We start from the raw sequence: 19,156 nt of genomic DNA on the forward strand, positions 1-19,156 counted from the left end.
TTCGGAAGCATGGATGTGCGCCTGCGCTGCGCTAGGGCGCGGCGGGCGGTTTGAATTTTGCTTACAGAGTCCCGTCTCACCATCCTGGGCTTCCAACGGAGACTGCGGTATCCGCAGCTGGAGACCCAGCGGCGAGTAGCCTTTTGCTCCCGGACGGACTTGAGGTTGGAGTCTGTGTGTTGGGGACCCTGCCTTTGGAAGCGCCCGAGGTAGCTGCTTGGCAGCTGGGGGCCGCGGACCGCGCCGGGCTTGGGGGAGGACGGGGCTGGAGGCTGGGTTGGATGCTTTAGACCCTCCCCTTCTCTCTCACCGGCGGAGTGGGTGGGAAACTGGTTCTTTCCCATTTCTCGGCCTCCTTACCGATCCCAAACTGTAAAGCCCCAACCCCTCACAGCACAGGAAAAATGATTACCTGGGCCCATTTCTTTGACAGTGTAACACATTTTTAAAAAATGTGTCCTTATTTTGCGTGTTTAAAGAAAATACCAATGTTGTCTTTATATACAAATAGTGCGTTTGTCCTCCTGAATCCTTAAGGAAAGGACCCAGGCTTATCCTCTTTCCCCTGGTTTGGGATCCATCGATGGCCTAAGGCTCTAAGACAAGTCAGTACGGTACCGTGGTTAGAAACTGAATGTTGTAGAAATGAAAGAAATTGCTCTTGAATTTTTGTGCTTAACCTTCAAAGACATGTGATTTACTTGACATTGACCATTCTTGGATTTCGAAAGTGAACAGAAATTTGTGTGGCTTTTCTTGTTACGAATATGTTTATGTTTTTTTCTTCAGAGGCTTAAAGGATGGCCTCGTCAGATCTGGAACAATTATGCTCTCATGTTAATGAAAAGATTGGCAATATTAAGAAAACCTTATCATTAAGAAACTGTGGTAAGTAAAACAGATTCCACTGACTTTGTATATACAAAATGCATTTTGATTATTCCACTCTGAATGATATCTTTGCTTGGTTAAGTGACTGCATCTTAGGTAATTTTAGATTTTTGCATAACGATTTTTTAAATAGTCCAATGTCATTTTGAATATTGTGGAGGATACTAAAAATGTAAGGTACATTGAACAATGAACTGAATATTCATTAGAATTATTTACTTATGTTTTTCTGAGACACATAGGCCAATGGTGAGATTTGAAGGTTATGTGGCATCCATGGTTCTACAGCTAAATAGAGATACAGTCATGCGTTCCTTAATGATGGAGATGTGTTCTGACAAAAGCGTTACATGATTTTGTCGTTGTGCAAACATCACATCATAGAATGTACGTAAATGTACACAAACCTAGATGGTATAGCCTACTACATATCTAGGCTATATAGCCTATTGCTCCTAGGCAACAAACCCGTATAGCATGTGACTGTACTGAATACCTTAGGCAAGTGTAACACAATGGTGAGTATTTGTGTATCTAAACATAGAAAAGATACAGTAAAAGATTAAAAATGGAACACCTGTATAGGCCACTTACCATTGATGGAGCTTGCAGAACTGGAAGTTGCTGTGGGTGAGACAGTGACTGTGAGGGCCTAGGACATCACTGTATACTACTGTAGGCTTTATAAGTACTATACACTTATGCTACACTAAATTTATAAAAAATGAAAAACTTTCTTCAATAATACATTAACCTTAGCTTACTATAACTTTTTTACTTAATAAACTTCTTAGTTTGGCTTAGCTTTTTTATTCTTTTCTAATAGCTTAAAACAAATACATTGTACAGGTGTACAAAAATATTTTTATATCTTTATGAGCTTTTTTTCTATTTTTTTTTAACTTTTTAAAATTTTTTTGTCAAAAACGAATACACACACACACACACATTAGCCTAGGCCTATGCAGGGTCAGGATCATCAACATCTGTCTTCCACATTCACATCTTGTTCCACTAGAAGGTCATCGGGGCAGTACCACACATGGAGCAGTCATCTGTGATAACAATGCCTTCTGGAATATCTCCTGAGGGATCTGCCTGAGGCTGTTTTACAGTTAACTTTTTTTTTTTAATAGGTAGAAGGAGTACACTCTAAAATAACAATACAAAGTATTGTATAGTAAATAACATAAACTAGTAACCATTTATTATCAATTATTATGTACTATACATAATTGTATGTGCTGTACTTTTGTAATACTGGCATTAGAGTTTGTTTACACCAGCATCACCACAAACATGTGAATAATGCATTGTACCATGATGTTATGATGGCTCCGATGTCACAAGGCAATAGGAATGTTTCAGCTCCGTTATAATCTTATGGGGCCACTGTCATATTTATGGTCCATTGTTGACTGAATCACTGTTATGTGGCACATTATTAAAAGGCAAGTTAAAAAAACTGATGTAGAGCTCCATAGGGGTAAAAGTAGTTCATAACCCATCTTAGAGCCTGCTTTGGAGGAAGCTTATTACTCTATATCACTGGGAAATAACTAATTGAAAATGAAATAAATTATTTAAGCATCCATGAACTTGGAGATTTTAAGTATATTTGAAAATATTTTGACGTGCTGAAATTGGATGATGCAATGAAAGTTCAGAGAAACAGATGATCCTTGTCAAATCTAAAATGTCTAAAGAATTACATACTCCCTAACCTTATCTGGGAGGGTAACGGTTTATTGGCAGACAGAATTCCATGTGCTGGGAAGGTTGTGTTGAACTTGTATTGTAGTTTGTATTATGAATTGGTAGTTTGAAAACTTTCTCAAATATGAAATTATAATGTTAGATAGGCCATTTCGAATTATACCTCCCCTCTCAGGGACGTTGATATTCTCAGTCCTGTATTGATAACTACTAATAAAGGAGCCTCATACATTTTACAGTTTATGGTTCACATACTCTGGAAAGTTAAAGCTAAAGGGACTGGGTTCATCTTAAGGAGCCCCCTGACCTCACACCTGAGGAAACTGAGACTCTCGGAAGTCAGGTGGCTGGCCCAGGTCCCTCAGCTCATGAGTACTTGGTTGGGCGACAGTTTCTGTTTCTTGATTCCCATGTTAGTACTCTTTCTATTTTGTTGCCATTTTTATTGAAGTAATTTGTAAAAGACTTTTAGATGTTTAATAATGAGTCTTGTTTAAATTCACTTTCTGAGGTTATGATTAGTCATGGATAAACAAATATAATTTGGAGATCTATACAACTATCAAGCCTTGAATTCACATGACCCACCAAAGCATAGGCCTGGCTGAAGCAGTCAGACCCATGAGATCCTTACACAGTTGTCAACTGTCATTTTGTATGGGGGGATAATAATTTGTGTGGCTCCATAGCCTATAAAATAAAGTCTGGTAGTTTGTTTGCTACTTTGGCTTCTGTAACTGACTAGATTACTACATAAAAAACAGTGACCAGACACACACCTGTAATCCCAGCACTTTGGGAGGCCAAGGCAGGCGGATCGCTTGAGCTTAGGAGTTTGAGACCAGCCTAGTAACATAGTAAGACCCTGTCTCTACACAAAATAAAAAATGAGCCAGGTGTGGTGGCGTTTACCTGTAGTCCCAGCTATTCAGGAGGCTGAGGCAGGAGGATTGCTTGAGCCTGGTAGGTTGAGGCTGCAGTGAGCTCCGATGGTGCCACTGAACTCCAGCCTGGGTGACAGAGAAAGACCCTGTCTCAAAAAAAAAAAAAAAAAAAAAAGTGGTAAACAACACCCTAAAATTTAGGTGACTAAAAGTTGAGATACCAGTGTATGGGGAAGAAATACTGTGTTCAACTAATTCTACTGAAATTATTCTCAGAGACATCAGTACTCTCATTTACTTATTAATTAGTTTTACTTGTTATGAGCTGAGTGTCAAATGCAAGTAGTGTTGCTCTATTAGATAGAATGATATACTCATGATGATGATGAATGGCAGTTAGCATTTACTGAGTATTACGTTCTACATGCAGGGCTAAGCCCATCTTATATGTACTTTCACCTATCTTCACAGTAATGAGGTAGGTACTTGGTGTCTCTGACTTCAGGCCTTCTACCTGGTTCACTCTACTGCCTCCTTAATCTACACATATTGCCAAAGTCTGCTTTTACTTATGTGTATGTCATTGTTAGATAGCTGGAAATGCAGATGGGAAGCTTCAATTATGAAGGTAGTTTTTCTTCTGTGCTTTTAATCTGCCCTTAAATTTTTTAAAAAACTACTTCTTTTATTTCTAGGGAGGAAGGGACTCTGATTTTCTCACCTAGAGAGGGGTGCTAGGAGGTGGGATTGGGACCATGAGAATATACTACTTTATAAATGTCTTATGTTTGTTTTTGCCAGGTACCCAGGGTTATCACCAGCTTGTGACTTTTTATGTTACTTTGTCTGCTTAGGGGTGGTTTTGAATAGTGTGGATAGTGTTAATATGAATTCCAAATCCATATTACAAATTCTGAAAGAGAGTTTCACCTCAACCTCACTCCCACCCCTTCCACACACACACTGAAGGGCCTGTCTAAAACATAAGCTTATTTCTCTGGTGAGTGATTACAACTTTCACTGAAAATATATTCATAAAGAAGAGTCCTAGCCTCGTTTGAGATTCTCACTTCCAACACCCTGTGTTTTAAAGCCCCAAAACCTTGGATCTTATCCCTATTAAAATCAAATATATTCAATTGCTGAGATTGACAACCTCCTGTCCAGCATTGCTCCACACTCCTCAGATTAGGGCTGCTGCAGCCTCAGCTCACACACCCTGCCTGGTATGAGGGGGAACCACAGTTCCCTCTTCATATTGGAACCCCTGGAAATTTGCCTTTTTCTCATGAAAGCTTAGCTGTGGACGTAGAAGGATGCTTGTTTTACCTCGCATTTCTAAGTGTTTTAATAAGTGGAAGAATTTGCCAGAAACAAAAGACGCAGGAGAGACATTGTCCTTGCCTCTCGCCTCCTTCTGTTCCATACTACTTAGAAATGAGGTTTCAGGATTGTCCATGGAGTCATTTTCTAGGGGCTAAAGCAGTAGACCTTTTTCCACCCCTCTCTAAGGTACAGCTATCTATTCTAAGAGTTCGCATGAGTACTTATAGCTACTGCTTTTCTATACACTTTGTTTTCTATTTTATTTTTGTTTATAACAGGCCAGGAACCTACCTTGAAAACTGTATTAAATAAAATAGGAGATGAGATCATTGTAATAAATGAACTTCTAAATAAATTGGAATTGGAAATTCAGTATCAAGAACAAACCAACAATTCACTCAAGGTAATGTTTCTCTAATGAGGAAGCAGTAAAAAAGACAATACATACAAACTCCCTAATCATTAAGTAATTTTTAAGGATGCTTTGTTTATAATGTTTTTTGTTTATAAATTATTAATGGTACAGTATGCCATTTATGTTTTATTTTCCTAGTATAGTGGAATTTGGAGCTCCACAGCTGCTACTTTCTGCTGATGGCCAGTGGAATTGAACTTTACTAAAAAGGAGAGTTTGCTAATAATTCTTGGTAGCTTTAATTTAAACAATGATGTTCTAGTAGAGTGGTATGTAAAGAACACCTGCTTTGGGTGAGGAGATATGGATTCTTACCTTGGTGGTCCTTGGTACTCTCTGCCACCCTGAGAAAGCTATTTTACCTGTTGGGGTTTCAAGAACCTCATCTGAAAAAATAATGGATCATATTGAACTGTTTCTTAGCTCCCTTATATGTCTATATTTCTATATTTTTATAAAAGGTAATATAAGGGTTCTCAGGTAAAGAAAAACTTGAGCCTCATTCACATGCACATTTTATTCTAAACAAGCCTTCAAATTGAGTTCAGCTAATAAAAGTGCTGGTGCACTTCCTGAGGGGGAAATAATCTGTACCATAATTACCTCACATTGTTAGAGCTGGGGAATTGCTCAGTGGGATTGAACAAGGGACCTCCCTGACCCCATTCAGCCTTATAATCCTTAAAGTCTGTAAAGATTGTTCAGCTATAGGAATGGGCATGATTATGCCTATCACTCTAATAGTCAAAATGGAATTGGTATCCATGAATGTCATTCACCTCTTCAAGGAAAAGACATTATATAAATTCAAAACAGAAACCAATACCGGCATTTCAGTTCTAACCTGCCCAAGAATGTCCAGGGTTAGGTGTGGGCCTAGAGAATGCTCAACTCAGAACTGAAGGCTATTTGGAATTTCTGTTCACATTGTGATTGGGAGCCAGATGGCGGGAATCCAAAGGCACAAAATATTTTCCTTATTAAAATGTGTATGAGTTCATAGCCTCAAGTTCTAGTAAAAGTTAGAGACCAAAACACCCCAGCTTTCAAGTAGAAATTTTCATTAAGCTGGCATGTAGGTAGCCCACAGTGGAAGTCATCCTAAAGCAGCATCTCATGCTTGCCAGCTGGGTATATTACCATGCTGTGATAATATGGTTGCTGTTACACAGGTAACACTGGGGAGCATTTGGTAAGCCAACAAACGCAATTTATGAGAATGAAAAACATAAGTTCTTTATATATTTCTTAGTTATCTCCCAAGATTAAAGTATTTGAGAAAGACTTAACTTTAGTCCTGCTTTGTAATTGCAATGTGATTATAGTGATTGTTCCCTGAAAAAAATCCAGTAGAGAAAAATATTACCACCATCCAAAAACAGCTCTAGAAACCAATTTTTTATTGCTGGATTCATTGCTTTTTCACTTCATTCTGCATTTTCGGTACTCCAGTCAATGTGGTTTTTTTTTTTTTTTTTTTTTGAGACGAGCCTTTCTCTGTCGCCCAGGCTGGAGTGCAGTGGCGCGATCTCAGCTCACTGCAGCCTCCTCCTCCCAGGTTCAAGCAGTTCTCCCCCCTCAGCCTCCTGAGTAGCTGGGACTATAGGCGCGTGCCACCACGCCCGGCTAAATTTTTGTATTTTTAGTAGAGATGGGGTTTCACAGTGTTAGTGGGGATGGTCTCGATCTCCTGACCTCATGATCCACCCGCCTTAGCCTCCCAAGGTGCTGGGATTACAGGCATGAGCCACCGCGTCCAGCCACAGTCACTGTGATTATGGTTCACTGTTTTCCCTGCTCTTTAGAATATCTTAAAACACACATGGGGAGGACAGAGACTTATTTGTGAGCACTTTTAAATTTTAGGAACTCTGTGAATCTCTTGAAGAAGATTACAAAGACATAGAACATCTTAAAGAAAACGTTCCTTCCCATTTGCCTCAAGTAACAGTAACCCAGAGCTGGTAAGTGTATTTATAATTATTCTTGCTATCTGGATTTATAAACCCATGAAAACAAGTTCTTCAAAGCCTTTTGTTCTTTCATATACTTGCAGTTTTGTCAGCGATGATCTAGTTTTTTGTCACCTATACTAAAAACAGTATTTCCATGTTCACCAGTTTTCTTATCTTGGTGTCTCTGAGGAAAATCTAACACTTCTTTCCCAGTTTGCCAAGGGCAAGTCTCTCTAGCCTCTCTTTTTTCACTCATTTCTTTCCCTGAGAGCAGTTTGTCAACTGACGTTTGTTCCTTGACATTTTAGGCAGGTTAATTTTTTGTTATGAGAATAGGACATTGAGTAGTGTTCTTGATCTCTGCCTACTAGATTCTGGTAGCATCCCTCCATCCCACCCATTCACGACAATGAAAAATGTCTCCAGACATTGCCAAATGCCTCTGAGGGCAAAATCTTCCCCGACCATTGAGAACCACTGCCTTTGGGTAAAAATAAGCTTAAGGAAGTTACCATTTTAAAAATAGCTAAAGAGGCTGGGCACAGTGGCTCACGCCTATAATCCTAGCATTTTGGGAAGCCAAGGCAGGCAGATTGCTTGAGCCCAGGAGTTTGAGACTAGCCTGGGCAACATGGTGAAACCCCATCTCTGCTAAAAATACAAAAAATTAGCCAGACACAGTGGCACACCCCTGTAGTCCCAGCTACTCAGGGAGCTGAGGCGGGAGGATTGCTTGAGTCTGGCAGGTCAAGGCTGCGGTGAGCCCTGATGGTGCTACTGCACTCCAGGCTGGGCGACAGAGTAAGACCCTGCCTCAAAATAAATAAATAAATAAAAGCCAAAGGAACAATAAGCTTAGCTCTTTTTTCCCCTCAAATGTCCATCCTCTCTCTCTTCCCCCTTACAAGGTGTGTCTGTGCTTCTGCTTTTTCCCCGAGGCCCTAACACCTGGCTTTTGGCTGTCATTGCCACCACACCTAGGGTGGTTGAAGGTCATGAAGAGGTCAAAAATCCCTCGTCAGCCCTGGTTCTACTTCTAAGATTTCATTTTGCATACCACCTTTTTGTTTTTGAAATTCTGTTTTCTGCCCTGCCACTGTGCTTTCTTAGTTGTCAGCCCACTTCTCTGACTTGGCTGCCTCCTTTTTCTCTCCCCTTTTTTAAATTATAGATCTCTCCTACCTGCTTTACTCATTCTTACCCAACTCCACTGTTAATGCTCTCAAATGTCCAGCTCTAGCCTTGATATGACATCTAGTTCCAGCGATTTAATGGCCTGCTATTTTCTCCTCAAATTTTCCATCTTGAAGACCTGGCTCTCTTGTTTCTCTTGTTCCCCACATATCCTCCCATCACCTCGGTGAGGACTTGGCATCTTTATCCTGTCTTGCTCTTTCTCAGCCATTACCTGTCATTGGACATCCAGTAAGAATTTGATCAGGGGAATAGGAGGAATTTTCTTCTAAGCTGACTATGGCCTAGCCTCAACTCTCAGGGATAGGTGAGAGCAGAACCTTTCTGTAGTTGAAAATGGTTATTTTCAGCTGATAAACACAGCAGGGCATAAGGGAGCCAATCAGGTGCTTCCTCAACACATGGTCAAGACAAACAAGTACAGGTACGATTCAGCCAGTCTCACAGTGGAATCTCATATGTTAGGATTCACAGAAGGATTATCATGCATTGGGCATCTTTATCTTGACAGCGTGCAGCGTGGCCGAGTCACACCACCTCAGTGAGGCTGGTTGCCATCTGTGTCTGGCATTTGACTGTCATCTTGGGATCTTGCTTCCTGCCTTTCTGGGGATTCCCTTGGCTTGCTCCTGAGGCCATCCTCCCACTCATAATTCCAGGGCTTTGCTTAACTTCTAAGCTTTATATTATGTTACATTTCTTGTTACCTTTTTATTATACAAATAATACATGTTGCTAGAAAGTGTTTGTTGTCAGAAAATAAAACTCATCTGTAATTTACCATTCAGATAAGATAGGGTATAGCTTTCCAGATTTTACTTAACTACACATAATAACAGGTATAAGAAATATTACAGGTATTTCTTATACTTGTTATTATGTGTAGTTATAGCAGCCCCCTACTGTTTCTTATATCTGGTGTCGTCTTTCCTATGTCTTGACTTGCTGCTGGCAACATCCCTGGCAGTTAAGGAACCTAGAAGCTATAGTGTGTTTCTAGACTTTGTTGCTAGTGGGACAGGAGCTATATTAGTCGGCTTCTCACTCGCTGTAAAAATTGGGCAGATTGAATCCAGGGGTGACCCATGATCATTGCTGGCAACTAAAATGACTCCGCAATACACAGGGACTGACATGAGCAACCATCAGGATAAATTAGAATAAATAGAAGTCTAAGATAACTGATGTTTCCAGATTCAGAGTTAGGGACGTCAGGAAGACAAGCTGTTAAGGGGTTAGAACAATGAGATCACATGGACACAGGAAGGGGAATATCACACTCTGGGGACTGTGGTGGGGTCGGGGGAGGGGGGAGGGATAGCATTGGGAGATATACCTAATGCTAGATGACACGTTAGTGGGTGCAGCGCACCAGCATGGCACATGTATACATATGTAACTAACCTGCACAATGTGCACATGTACCCTAAAACTTAGAGTATAATAAAAAAAAAAAAATTAAAAAAAAAAAAAAAAAAAGGAAAAAAAAAAAAAAGAGAAGCTATTAAGCCGTAAAGCTGTTAACTTACTGACTTTGAGGAGCTGGTGGGACAACTGATGAAGATATCATGTTACACGTAAATAAATGTAGCTATATTACTGAAGATTTGGGAACTTAATTTTTCAACATTTCCTTCACCGTTTAATGTTCATGAACAATAGACATAGGGATAGAAAAAAATGTTGGCAATAAGATTATAACAGGATGAGTTACGTATTTAATATTATTTTCAGTTGGGAAAACTGTCAGTATGCTGCTTATTTCTGAAAATTGCCTGTATGTATGTACATCTGTATTCTGTAGTGTTAAGGGATCAGATCTTGATCCTGAAGAACCAATCAAAGTTGAAGAACCTGAACCCGTAAAGAAGCCTCCCAAAGAGCAAAGAAGTATTAAGGAAATGCCATTTATAACTTGTGATGAGTTCAATGGTGTTCCTTCGTAAGTATTTAAGATAAATAATGTTCAACCCCTTAATAAACATAAATGATCGTTTAAATAATAAAGCTTAATTATATTAATTGTAATATGCTATGTTCAAATATTGATCTTTTAAAAAAGTTTCACATTATACTATGAAAATGCAGTAAATTTTTTGAAGATTTTTGTTGTAAAACCCCTTCATAGAGAGATCTAGAGATGGATCAATTCATTGCTTAAGTCCTCTGTTGGACCTTTTTGTGTTACAGATTTACCAATCATATTATAGAAGTAGCCTCAGTTTTGTGGTAATTTTAAGGAAATCGAGTGTGTTGTGTAGAATTGAGAATGAGAATGGACAGTGTTGTGTTTGGTTTCCGTTTGTGCATTGCACCCCGCACTTGTTTGAGCCTGTGCTATATTCCAGGCCCTGGGTCACTCAGAATAGAGGAATGAATAAGACAAAATGCTTCCCCCAAAGAGGGGGGCGGGTCTCCCTTGCCTTTTACATATGGCAATAATGGGGAACCAATGATGAAAATCGACATTTTTAAACTCATAATTCCAGGGCTTTGCTAAACTTCTAAGCTTCATGTTATGTTACATTTCTTGTTACCTTTTTATTATACGAATAATACATGTTACTAGAAAGTGTTTGTTGTCAGAAAGTAAAACTCATCTGTAATTCTACCATTAGATAAGATAGGGTATAGCTTTCCAGATTTTATTTGACTATACATATGTAACAGGTATTTCTTATACCTGTTATTATAGCAATGTAGTTATACTGTAAATACAACTTACTATCCTTTTATTGTGATAATTTTTCTATCATTAATAGTCATATAATATATAGCTATCCAATAACTTGTAGCATTTCCTCATTACATATTTGGGTTGACTTTATTGTTATAAATAATGGTACAATGAAATATCTTTTAGACAAGGCTGTTTTGCAATTTTTTTATTTCCTTGGGATAGTCTTAGGAGGAGAGTCCCTGAGGCAAAGATCATGATTATTTTGCTTCTAGAGAGTTTTTCATACCAGTTCATTTTGGTTGTTGTTTTATTTAATAAAGTATATTTCTTAGAACCTTTGTTAGATTTACAGAAAAATTGAGCAGATAGTACAGTGTTCTCATACCGCTTCTCCCCTGCACACAGTTTTCCCTAGTAATAGAGCATTGGTATGACATATCTGTTACAGTTGTCAAACCAATATTGATACATTACTATTAACTACCATCCTTAGTCTATGTTAGGATTTATTCTGTGTTGTACCATCTATGGGTTTTGACAAACGTATAATGTCATGTGTCTACCATTACGGTATCATACAGAAGAATTTCACTATCCTAAAAAGTTTCACTGTCCTAAAAGTGCCTTGTATCCCACCTCTTTCTATCTCCCACTGAACCCCAGAATGTTATATGGTTAGAGTCATACAGTATGTAGCCTTCTCTGACTGGCTTCTTTTACTTAGAAATAAGGATTTATGATCCCTTGTACCTTTTTGTGGTTTGATAGCTCATTTCTTTTTAACACTAAATAGTACTCCATTGTATGGATGTATTGGTTTGTTTATTCATTCACCTATTGAAGCAATCTTAGTTCCTTCCAGTTTGGTGCAACTATGAATAAAGCGCTAAAAACGTTCATGTGCAGGTTTCGTGTAGACATAAGTTTTCAACTCATTTGGGTAAATACTTAGGAGTGTAACTGCTGAGTCACGTAAGAGTATGTTCAGTTTTGTAAAAACCTGCCAATGGCTATACCATTTTGCATTCCCACCAGCAATGACAGAACATTCCTCTTGCTCCACATACTCTTTATCATTTGGTATTGTCAGTGTTCTGGATTTTAGCCACTCTAATAGGTGTATAGTGGTATCTAATTATTTTACTTTACAATTCCCTAGTGACATTTGACATTGAGCATCTTTTCAGCAAGTACTGCAGTCCTCTGCTCTACCAGCTGAGCTATCGAAGGAAGCACTGAGCATCTTTTCATATTGATATACTTATTTTCCATTTGCATATCTTCTTTGATGAGATATCTGTTCAGGTCTTGAGCCTGTTTTTAAAGTGGGTTGTTTGTTTTCTTGTCATTGAATTTTAAGAGTTCTTTGCATATCTTTCTTCCTCTCCTCTAGTAGTCTCATTACCTGTATGTTATACTTTTTTTGATTGCCTCACAGTTCTTGGGTTTTCTGTTCTTTTTTGTATTTCTCTTTGCATTTTAGTTTGGGAAGTATCTATTGACGTTATCTATTGATGTATCTTCAAGTTCGCTGATTCTTTCTTTAGCTGAGTCTAGTCTGCTGATGGAGCCCATCAAAGGCATTCTTCATTTCTGTTAGAGTTCTTTATTTCTAGCATTTCCTTTTGATTCTTCTGTAGAATTTCCATCTCTGCTTTGTCTGTCTATTCTTGCATTTTATCCTTTTTCCATTAGAGTCCTTAGCATATTAAACATAGTTATTTGAGTTAGTGGTTTGATACTTCCAAAATCTCTGTCATTTCTCAATCTGCTTCTGATGCTTGTGATGCTCTCAGCCTGTATTTTTATCTTATGCCTAGTAATTTTTGTTAAAAGCTGGACAAGATGTGTCTGGATAATAGGAACTGAAGTAAATAGGCTTTTAGTGTGAGATTTTATGTTGATACGTCTAGGAGCTGGGCTATGTTTAATGGTTGCTACGGTTGTAAATGTCAGAAGCTTCAATTTCTTCTAGTTCCCATTTCTTTTGTTTGTTTTGATTTGTTTTGTTTTTGAGATGGAGTCTTGCTCTGTCGCCCAGGCTGGAGTGCATTGGCACGATCTCAGCTCACTGCAAGCTCCGCCTCCCAGGTTCACGCCATTCTCCTGCCTCAGCCTCCAGAGTAGCTAGGACTACAGGCGCCCGCCGCCACCATGCCAGGCTAATTTTTTGTATTTTTAGTAGAGACGGGGTTTCACCATGTTAGCCAGGATGGTCTCCATCTCCTGACCTCGTGATCCACCCGCCTCAGCCTCCCAAAGTGCTGGGATTACAGGCATGAGCCACTGTGCCTGGCCCTAGTTCCCATTTCTTTTGTCTCCTCTGTTGTCTTTGGGTTTCCTTAGAAATTTTTTCTTAATAGATTCTGTGTCTTGTAGCTTGCTAAGTGTTAGTTCACTAATACGTTCCTGTAACCTTGTTGTAGTGGTGGTAAGGTGTTGGAGAGGAGAAGCATTCTATAATCTTATGATTAAATCTCAGGCTTTTTAGGGGTACTGCATCTCTGGCCTGTGACCTTCTAAGGTGTTTCTTAGCTAGACGGGGCTGAAATCATCTAACTACCCTTCCCCTAGGTCAGATAAGGTTCTGGTCAAGTAGTTTTCCTTGAGGGCAGGTCTTTGTTTTGGATAACAGAACTGCTCTACTTTTCCTTGGCCTATTTCAAAATAATTACTTTTTCCTTCCTCTTGCTGATGCTCAAGAGAATTTTTCTCTGATCTTCATTTTAAAAACTTGGGGGGAAGGCAGGGGTGGTTCCTGGAAGTAAAACTCATGGAAGTATGGGGGGGCTCCCTAAACTGGATCCCCAGGAGTTTTTAACTCTCAAGCTAGTTCAAACTGAGCCTTAGCAGTTTGTCCGTTACTATTTAAATGTTCCTACAGTTACTCACTCCAGTGGCTTCTGTCCCTAGGAAGCTGTCATTCTCTGCATTTGTTTGTCTCTCCTGTTTTGGGGGCAGTGTTTGGCCCTGTGACCTCAATTCTCTGAAAAGAGTTACCAGCTTTCAGTTTGCTCCTGTTGTGAGGATGGGAGTGACAGTTTCCAAGCTCTTGACACGTCAGAGTGCTACATACCAGTTTTTACTCCTGTTGGTAGTGTGTGAGAAAGCCCAACCTAATCTCACACCTGCTAGTGTTACCTCCTACTTAAAAATTGCTACCAATTAGCCACTTGAAAAATACCTGGCTCTTTCACAACTCCAAGACTAGTGATGACGTTGACATTGCTCTTTAGTCTTTTTCTGGGGGGGAGAGGGTCATTTTGTCATTTCCTTTACCTTTCTTTTTTTTTTTTTTTTTTTTTTTTTACTTTTTTTGTTTTTGAGACAGTCTCACTCTGTCCCACAGGCTGGAGTGCAGTGGCATGATCTCGGCTCACTGCAACCTCTGCCTCCTGGGCTCAAGCAATTCTCATGGTTCAGCCTCCCAAGTAGCTGGGACCACAGGCGTGTGCCACCACACCCAGCTAATTTTTCTACTTTTAGTAGAGATGGGGTTTCAGCCATGTTGGCCAGGCTGGTCTCAAACTCCTGACCTCAAGTGATCCACCTGCCTCGGCCTCCCAAAGTGCTGAGATTACAGGTGTGAGCCACCACACTAGCAGTCATTTCCTTTATTGACAGCTTTATTTTCATGAAAACTGTTTGATGCTCTGATGCTATTCAGCTTTGATCTTTGTTATTGTTGCTCATTGGCTGAGCTAATGTGAAGAGCTAATGTGGCTGTGAGGAACAGTGGAGTAGAGGATTTTTGGAAAATGCTTCCATAAAGAGCTATTGGAAGGAAATTAGAATGGTCATGGTAGAGTATTCATTTTTCAACTAGGGGTTATTTAATGAATGAGAAATGAAGTTAGAAGATTAGGGTGAAAAAATCATGTTTTCCAAGCATAGAGTTTTTATTTACTTTAAAACAAATGGTGCTGAGAGTAGAGTTAAAGTGGAAAACATTGAAGGAGATTAGGGATGACTATTGAGGAAATCAAGGTGGTAGTTGAGAAGATTTGAAGGAATACATAAGTGCATTGTGGAGAGCTGGGGTATAAGAGTTTGTAGAAATTGTGGTTAGAAAAAACAGGACAGCAAAAATGAATTTAGAAAAGAGAGGAATAATGAAAATGAGTGTTTTTTTGGAAATATGAACATTTTCTTTTAAATAAACTTCCATATCATTGTATCAAGGAAGTTTTGACTAGAAAGCTGCTACTTTGAATAGAAATGAAGGACAGAGCTTAACCTACTGAACTTACAATTTGTTGAAGAGACAAATTGAAGCAGATCATCAAGTTTTGTTTTTGGTGTGTTCAAAACATTCAAAATTGAGAGTCTCCTGTTTTTATATTGTAAGACTCCATGGTGACTGGGAGGACGGACAAGAGGGAGGTTGAAGAGTAGAATTCAGAGTGAAAGAGAGTGCTCTAAGGGAACTTGAGCTAGGGCATAGAAAACATCATGGCTATGCTTTGGTTCTCCTCTGCCCAGGCAGCTTCCAGTCACTCACTCCTATATATCCCCTACCCCATCAGTTCTCCTTTGTCTTAATTTTCATTGTCAACTTTGTTGTGGTCTTCTTTGTTGCCCTTCATCTTCCCTTCCTCCTCCTCCTTTTTTTCTCTTTCTTTCTCTGAACAAGTAATAGTTTTTGTATAGCACTAGAGTGCTATAAGTTGTATAATTTATTAATATTTAAGTTTTTCCTTTGCTCACATTTAAAACTGTTTAAATAAACTGATATGTTGCAGTTAATCAGTCCATTTGAATCAGAATTTGAGAGCTTATTTAAAATTATAATATCAGTTCTCCATAGGTAAACAATAGAGGTTAATAATTAGAGAAGGTAAGCACCAATATGTTGTCATCTCTATTTAATTATTCAGCTGTCTGGTTTATTTGGAAGTTGATATAAGATTGTTTTTATAAAGGGTACTGTAGTTTTACTGTTGTACAAAGTCATCATACTTATGTTTTTCAAGGAAAGTAATTTTGTATGATGATTCTTTAAAACAATAATTAGCCATATACTTTTTTACAGGTACATGAAATCCCGCTTAACCTATAATCAAATTAATGATGTTATTAAAGAAATCAACAAGGCAGTAATTAGTAAATATAAAATCCTACATCAGCCAAAAAAGTCTATGAATTCTGTGACCAGAAATCTCTATCACAGATTTATTGATGAAGAAACGAAGGATACCAAAGGTAAAATGGCAGCATATATGTGTGTACATGTGAACTGTTCAGAGTATAACTAAATCACGAGAAATGTAGCTAGTTCTAGAAAATTCTAAATCTAGAGTGTTAATTCCCAACCAGGAGCAGTTATCCTACCAGGAGACATTTTACCATGTCTGGAGACATTTTTGGTTGTTACAGCTGGGTGCTCCTGGCATCTAGTAGGTAGAGGCCAGGGATGCTGCTATAACAGCCGGCAGTGCACAGGATAGCACCCACAAAATAAATTCTCTGGCTCACAGTGTCTGTAGTGCTGAGCCTGAGAAACATTGCTTTAGAGTCTATTGTGAAACTATGCCCAATGTTTTAGGAAATTGAATAGTAATGATAATAGCTAGTCCTGTTGATATAGCTACTTACTGTATGGCAGAGAGTGTGCCAAGAGCTTCAATCCTTACAACACCCGTATCACTTACTGTTATTACTCCCAATTTGTAGACTAGGCAAAGAGAGCTTAACTTACTTGTCCAAGGTCATCCAGTTAAATGATAACACTGTTACGGGTTTTATTCTTATAACCACTATGTCACATTGCCTCTTGAAAAGTGAATTGTTCAAGCGATACCAACAGATAGCTAGTGACCTAATAAATATCATGCATGCAACTTCTGTTGATAGAATAATTATTATTTTAGCAAGAATACTAGTTCTTGGTTTTATTGGATACTAACAGTAAAAACGACTAATACCATTCATATTCACAACTTAATGTATTAAAGACTCTTTTGCAAGTTGGCCTTATAAAAATTAGCACTAATATCTTTATTTTTAGGTCGTTATTTTATAGTGGAAGCTGACATAAAGGAGTTCACAACTTTGAAAGCTGACAAGAAGTTTCACGTGTTACTGAATATTTTACGACACTGCCGGAGGCTATCAGAGGTCCGAGGGGGAGGACTTACTCGTTATGTTATAACCTGAGTCCCTTGTGAACTTTTGAACATACCAACAGGGTATAGAGTATAGAGGCTATTTCTATAATTTTCTTATATATAATTTTTTTAACTTTTAATCTTTTTTGTTTCCTTTTTTTTTTTTTTGAGACAGGATCTTGCTTTGTCACCCAGGGGCTTGCTTTGTCACGCAGGCTAGAGTGCAGTGGCGCAAACATGGCTCACTGCAGCCTCAACCTCCCAGGCTCAAGTGATCCTCCCACCTCAGCCCCCTGAATGGCTGGGACTACAAGCGTGCGCCACCATGCCTGGCTAATTTTTGTATTTTTTGGAGAGATGGGGTTTCACCATGTTGCCTAGGCTGGTCTTGAGCTCCTGAGCTCAAACAATCCACCCTCCTCAGCCTCCCAAAGTGCTGGGATTACAGGCTTGAGCCACCACACCTGACCTATTCTTGTTTCTTATAAAAATAAAACTTTTTTGGATAAAGCTTATTTCTTGTTTTTTTCTTTTTCTTTTTTTTTTTTTTTGAGACAGTCTCGCTCTTTCACCCAGGCCGGACTGCAGCGGCGCTATCTCGGCTCACTGCAAACTCTGCCTCCCAGGTTCACGCCATCCTCCTGCCTCAGCCTCCTGAGTAGCTGGGACTACAGGCACCTGCCACCACGCCCAGCTAATTTTTTGTATTTTTAGTAGAGATGGGGTTTCACCGTGTTAGCCAGGATGGTCTCGATCTCCTGACCTCATGATCCGCCCACCTCGGCCTCCCAAAGTGCTGGGATTACAGGCGTGAGCCACCGCGCCCGGCCAACTTATATATTTTCAAGATTCACCTCCTCTCACCAAATATTTAACTACCTGCTGAATACGCCTCTGTACTAGGCACATAATGGAACTAAAAAATGCTCATGTCCAGTTTTTGTGTTGAGTGAACAATGCTGCAGACCCTAATAAGATTGGGTACAGATCGGCATGCGCCTGTAGTCCCAGCTACTCAGGAGAATTGCTTGAACCTAGGAGGTGGAGGTTGCAGTGAGCCGAGATCGTGCCACTGCACTCCAGTCTGGGCAACAGAGCGAGACTCCATCTCAGAAAAAAAGAAAAAAAGACTGGGTACAGATGTGATATTGGAAGAAAAAGATCAAGCTGATGAGGTTAGGATACCCAGGCCCTTTGGACTTAAAGATCACTAGTGTCTAAATTCCATCGATGGCATTTCAGTCTATAGGTAAACTTCCTGGAAGCTGGATTTGGAGACAGTTTATCATCTGATTATTGGGCTTTCGTATAGGTCCTTAGGGAGCAGCTTACCTGAAATGCATTTAGTGTACACCAGTCTGTAAACTTCAACCTGTAATGAAAGTGTAATAAATGTACATTGAGTTGATGTGATAATGTGATATAATAAGAAATATATATTTGATCTTCCTATCTAGTTCCTTGTTCAGAGCTCCTAAAACCCTTGTAATTTCCAAAGTGATGGAGTACATCTTTTGTTCTAGTATTTGGTCTTTGACCCCAGTTCCTGACACAAAGCTCCTAAATTCCTTTAAATTTCCCAGTGATAGGAGAATTTTTTGTTCTAATGAGGTCACTCTTGATGGGCACCTGGATAACTCAGGATGGGGGCTGCTCACAAAGACCACATCATGATTGGAAGTTTCAAACTTTCAGTCTCCCACCTCCAGAGAGGGGAGAGGGGCTGGAGATTTGTGTCAATAATCCATCAGGCCTATGTCAACAAGACATAATCCGTTAACTATGGAGTTCAGGGAGCTTCAGGGTTGGCAAACATTTTGATGTGCCAGGAAGGTGACGCACTCCAGCTTTATGAAGTCAGCAAGTCCTGTGCTCAGGATGCTTCTGGACCTTGCCCCAGGTACCCCTTCATGTGGCTGTTGTTCATCTGTATCCTTTGTAGTAGCCTTAAAATAAACTGTTAAACACAAGTAAAGCATTTCCCTGAG

At 39.4% G+C, this 19,156-nt stretch overlaps 1 protein-coding gene across 2 annotated transcripts; it reads left to right on the top strand.

Moving 5' to 3' along the window:
- The first annotated feature begins 15 nt into the window (after positions 1 to 15).
- On the top strand, positions 16 to 19,138 carry SKA1 (spindle and kinetochore associated complex subunit 1). Of its 2 annotated transcripts, none has more exons than NM_001039535.3 (7): positions 16 to 209; positions 790 to 888; positions 5,096 to 5,220; positions 7,099 to 7,196; positions 10,186 to 10,323; positions 16,094 to 16,263; positions 17,069 to 19,138. In NM_001039535.3, exons 2-7 carry the CDS (start codon positions 801 to 803, stop codon positions 17,215 to 17,217), a joined length of 768 nt encoding a protein of 255 aa, NP_001034624.1. In that variant the 5' UTR covers positions 16 to 209; positions 790 to 800; the 3' UTR covers positions 17,218 to 19,138. The 2 variants fall into 2 exon arrangements, with proteins under 2 accessions (NP_001034624.1, NP_659497.1); NM_145060.4 differs by having other exon boundaries at positions 16 to 164.
- The last annotated feature ends 18 nt before the right edge of the window (positions 19,139 to 19,156 follow it).

Source organism: Homo sapiens, chromosome 18 (assembly GCF_000001405.40).
Source record: "Homo sapiens chromosome 18, GRCh38.p14 Primary Assembly".
In the NCBI taxonomy this organism is placed as follows: domain Eukaryota; kingdom Metazoa; phylum Chordata; class Mammalia; order Primates; family Hominidae; genus Homo; species Homo sapiens.

Excerpts from the sequence above, each read along its gene's own strand:
- SKA1 (NM_001039535.3), top strand. The coding sequence starts at position 801 with ATGGCCTCGTCAGATCTGGAACAATTATGCTCTCATGTTAATGAAAAG. Across the intron at positions 10,324-16,093 it reads GAGTTCAATGGTGTTCCTTC|GTACATGAAATCCCGCTTAA; the intron begins GTAAGTATTTAA and ends ACTTTTTTACAG. Across the intron at positions 16,264-17,068 it reads AGAAACGAAGGATACCAAAG|GTCGTTATTTTATAGTGGAA; the intron begins GTAAAATGGCAG and ends CTTTATTTTTAG.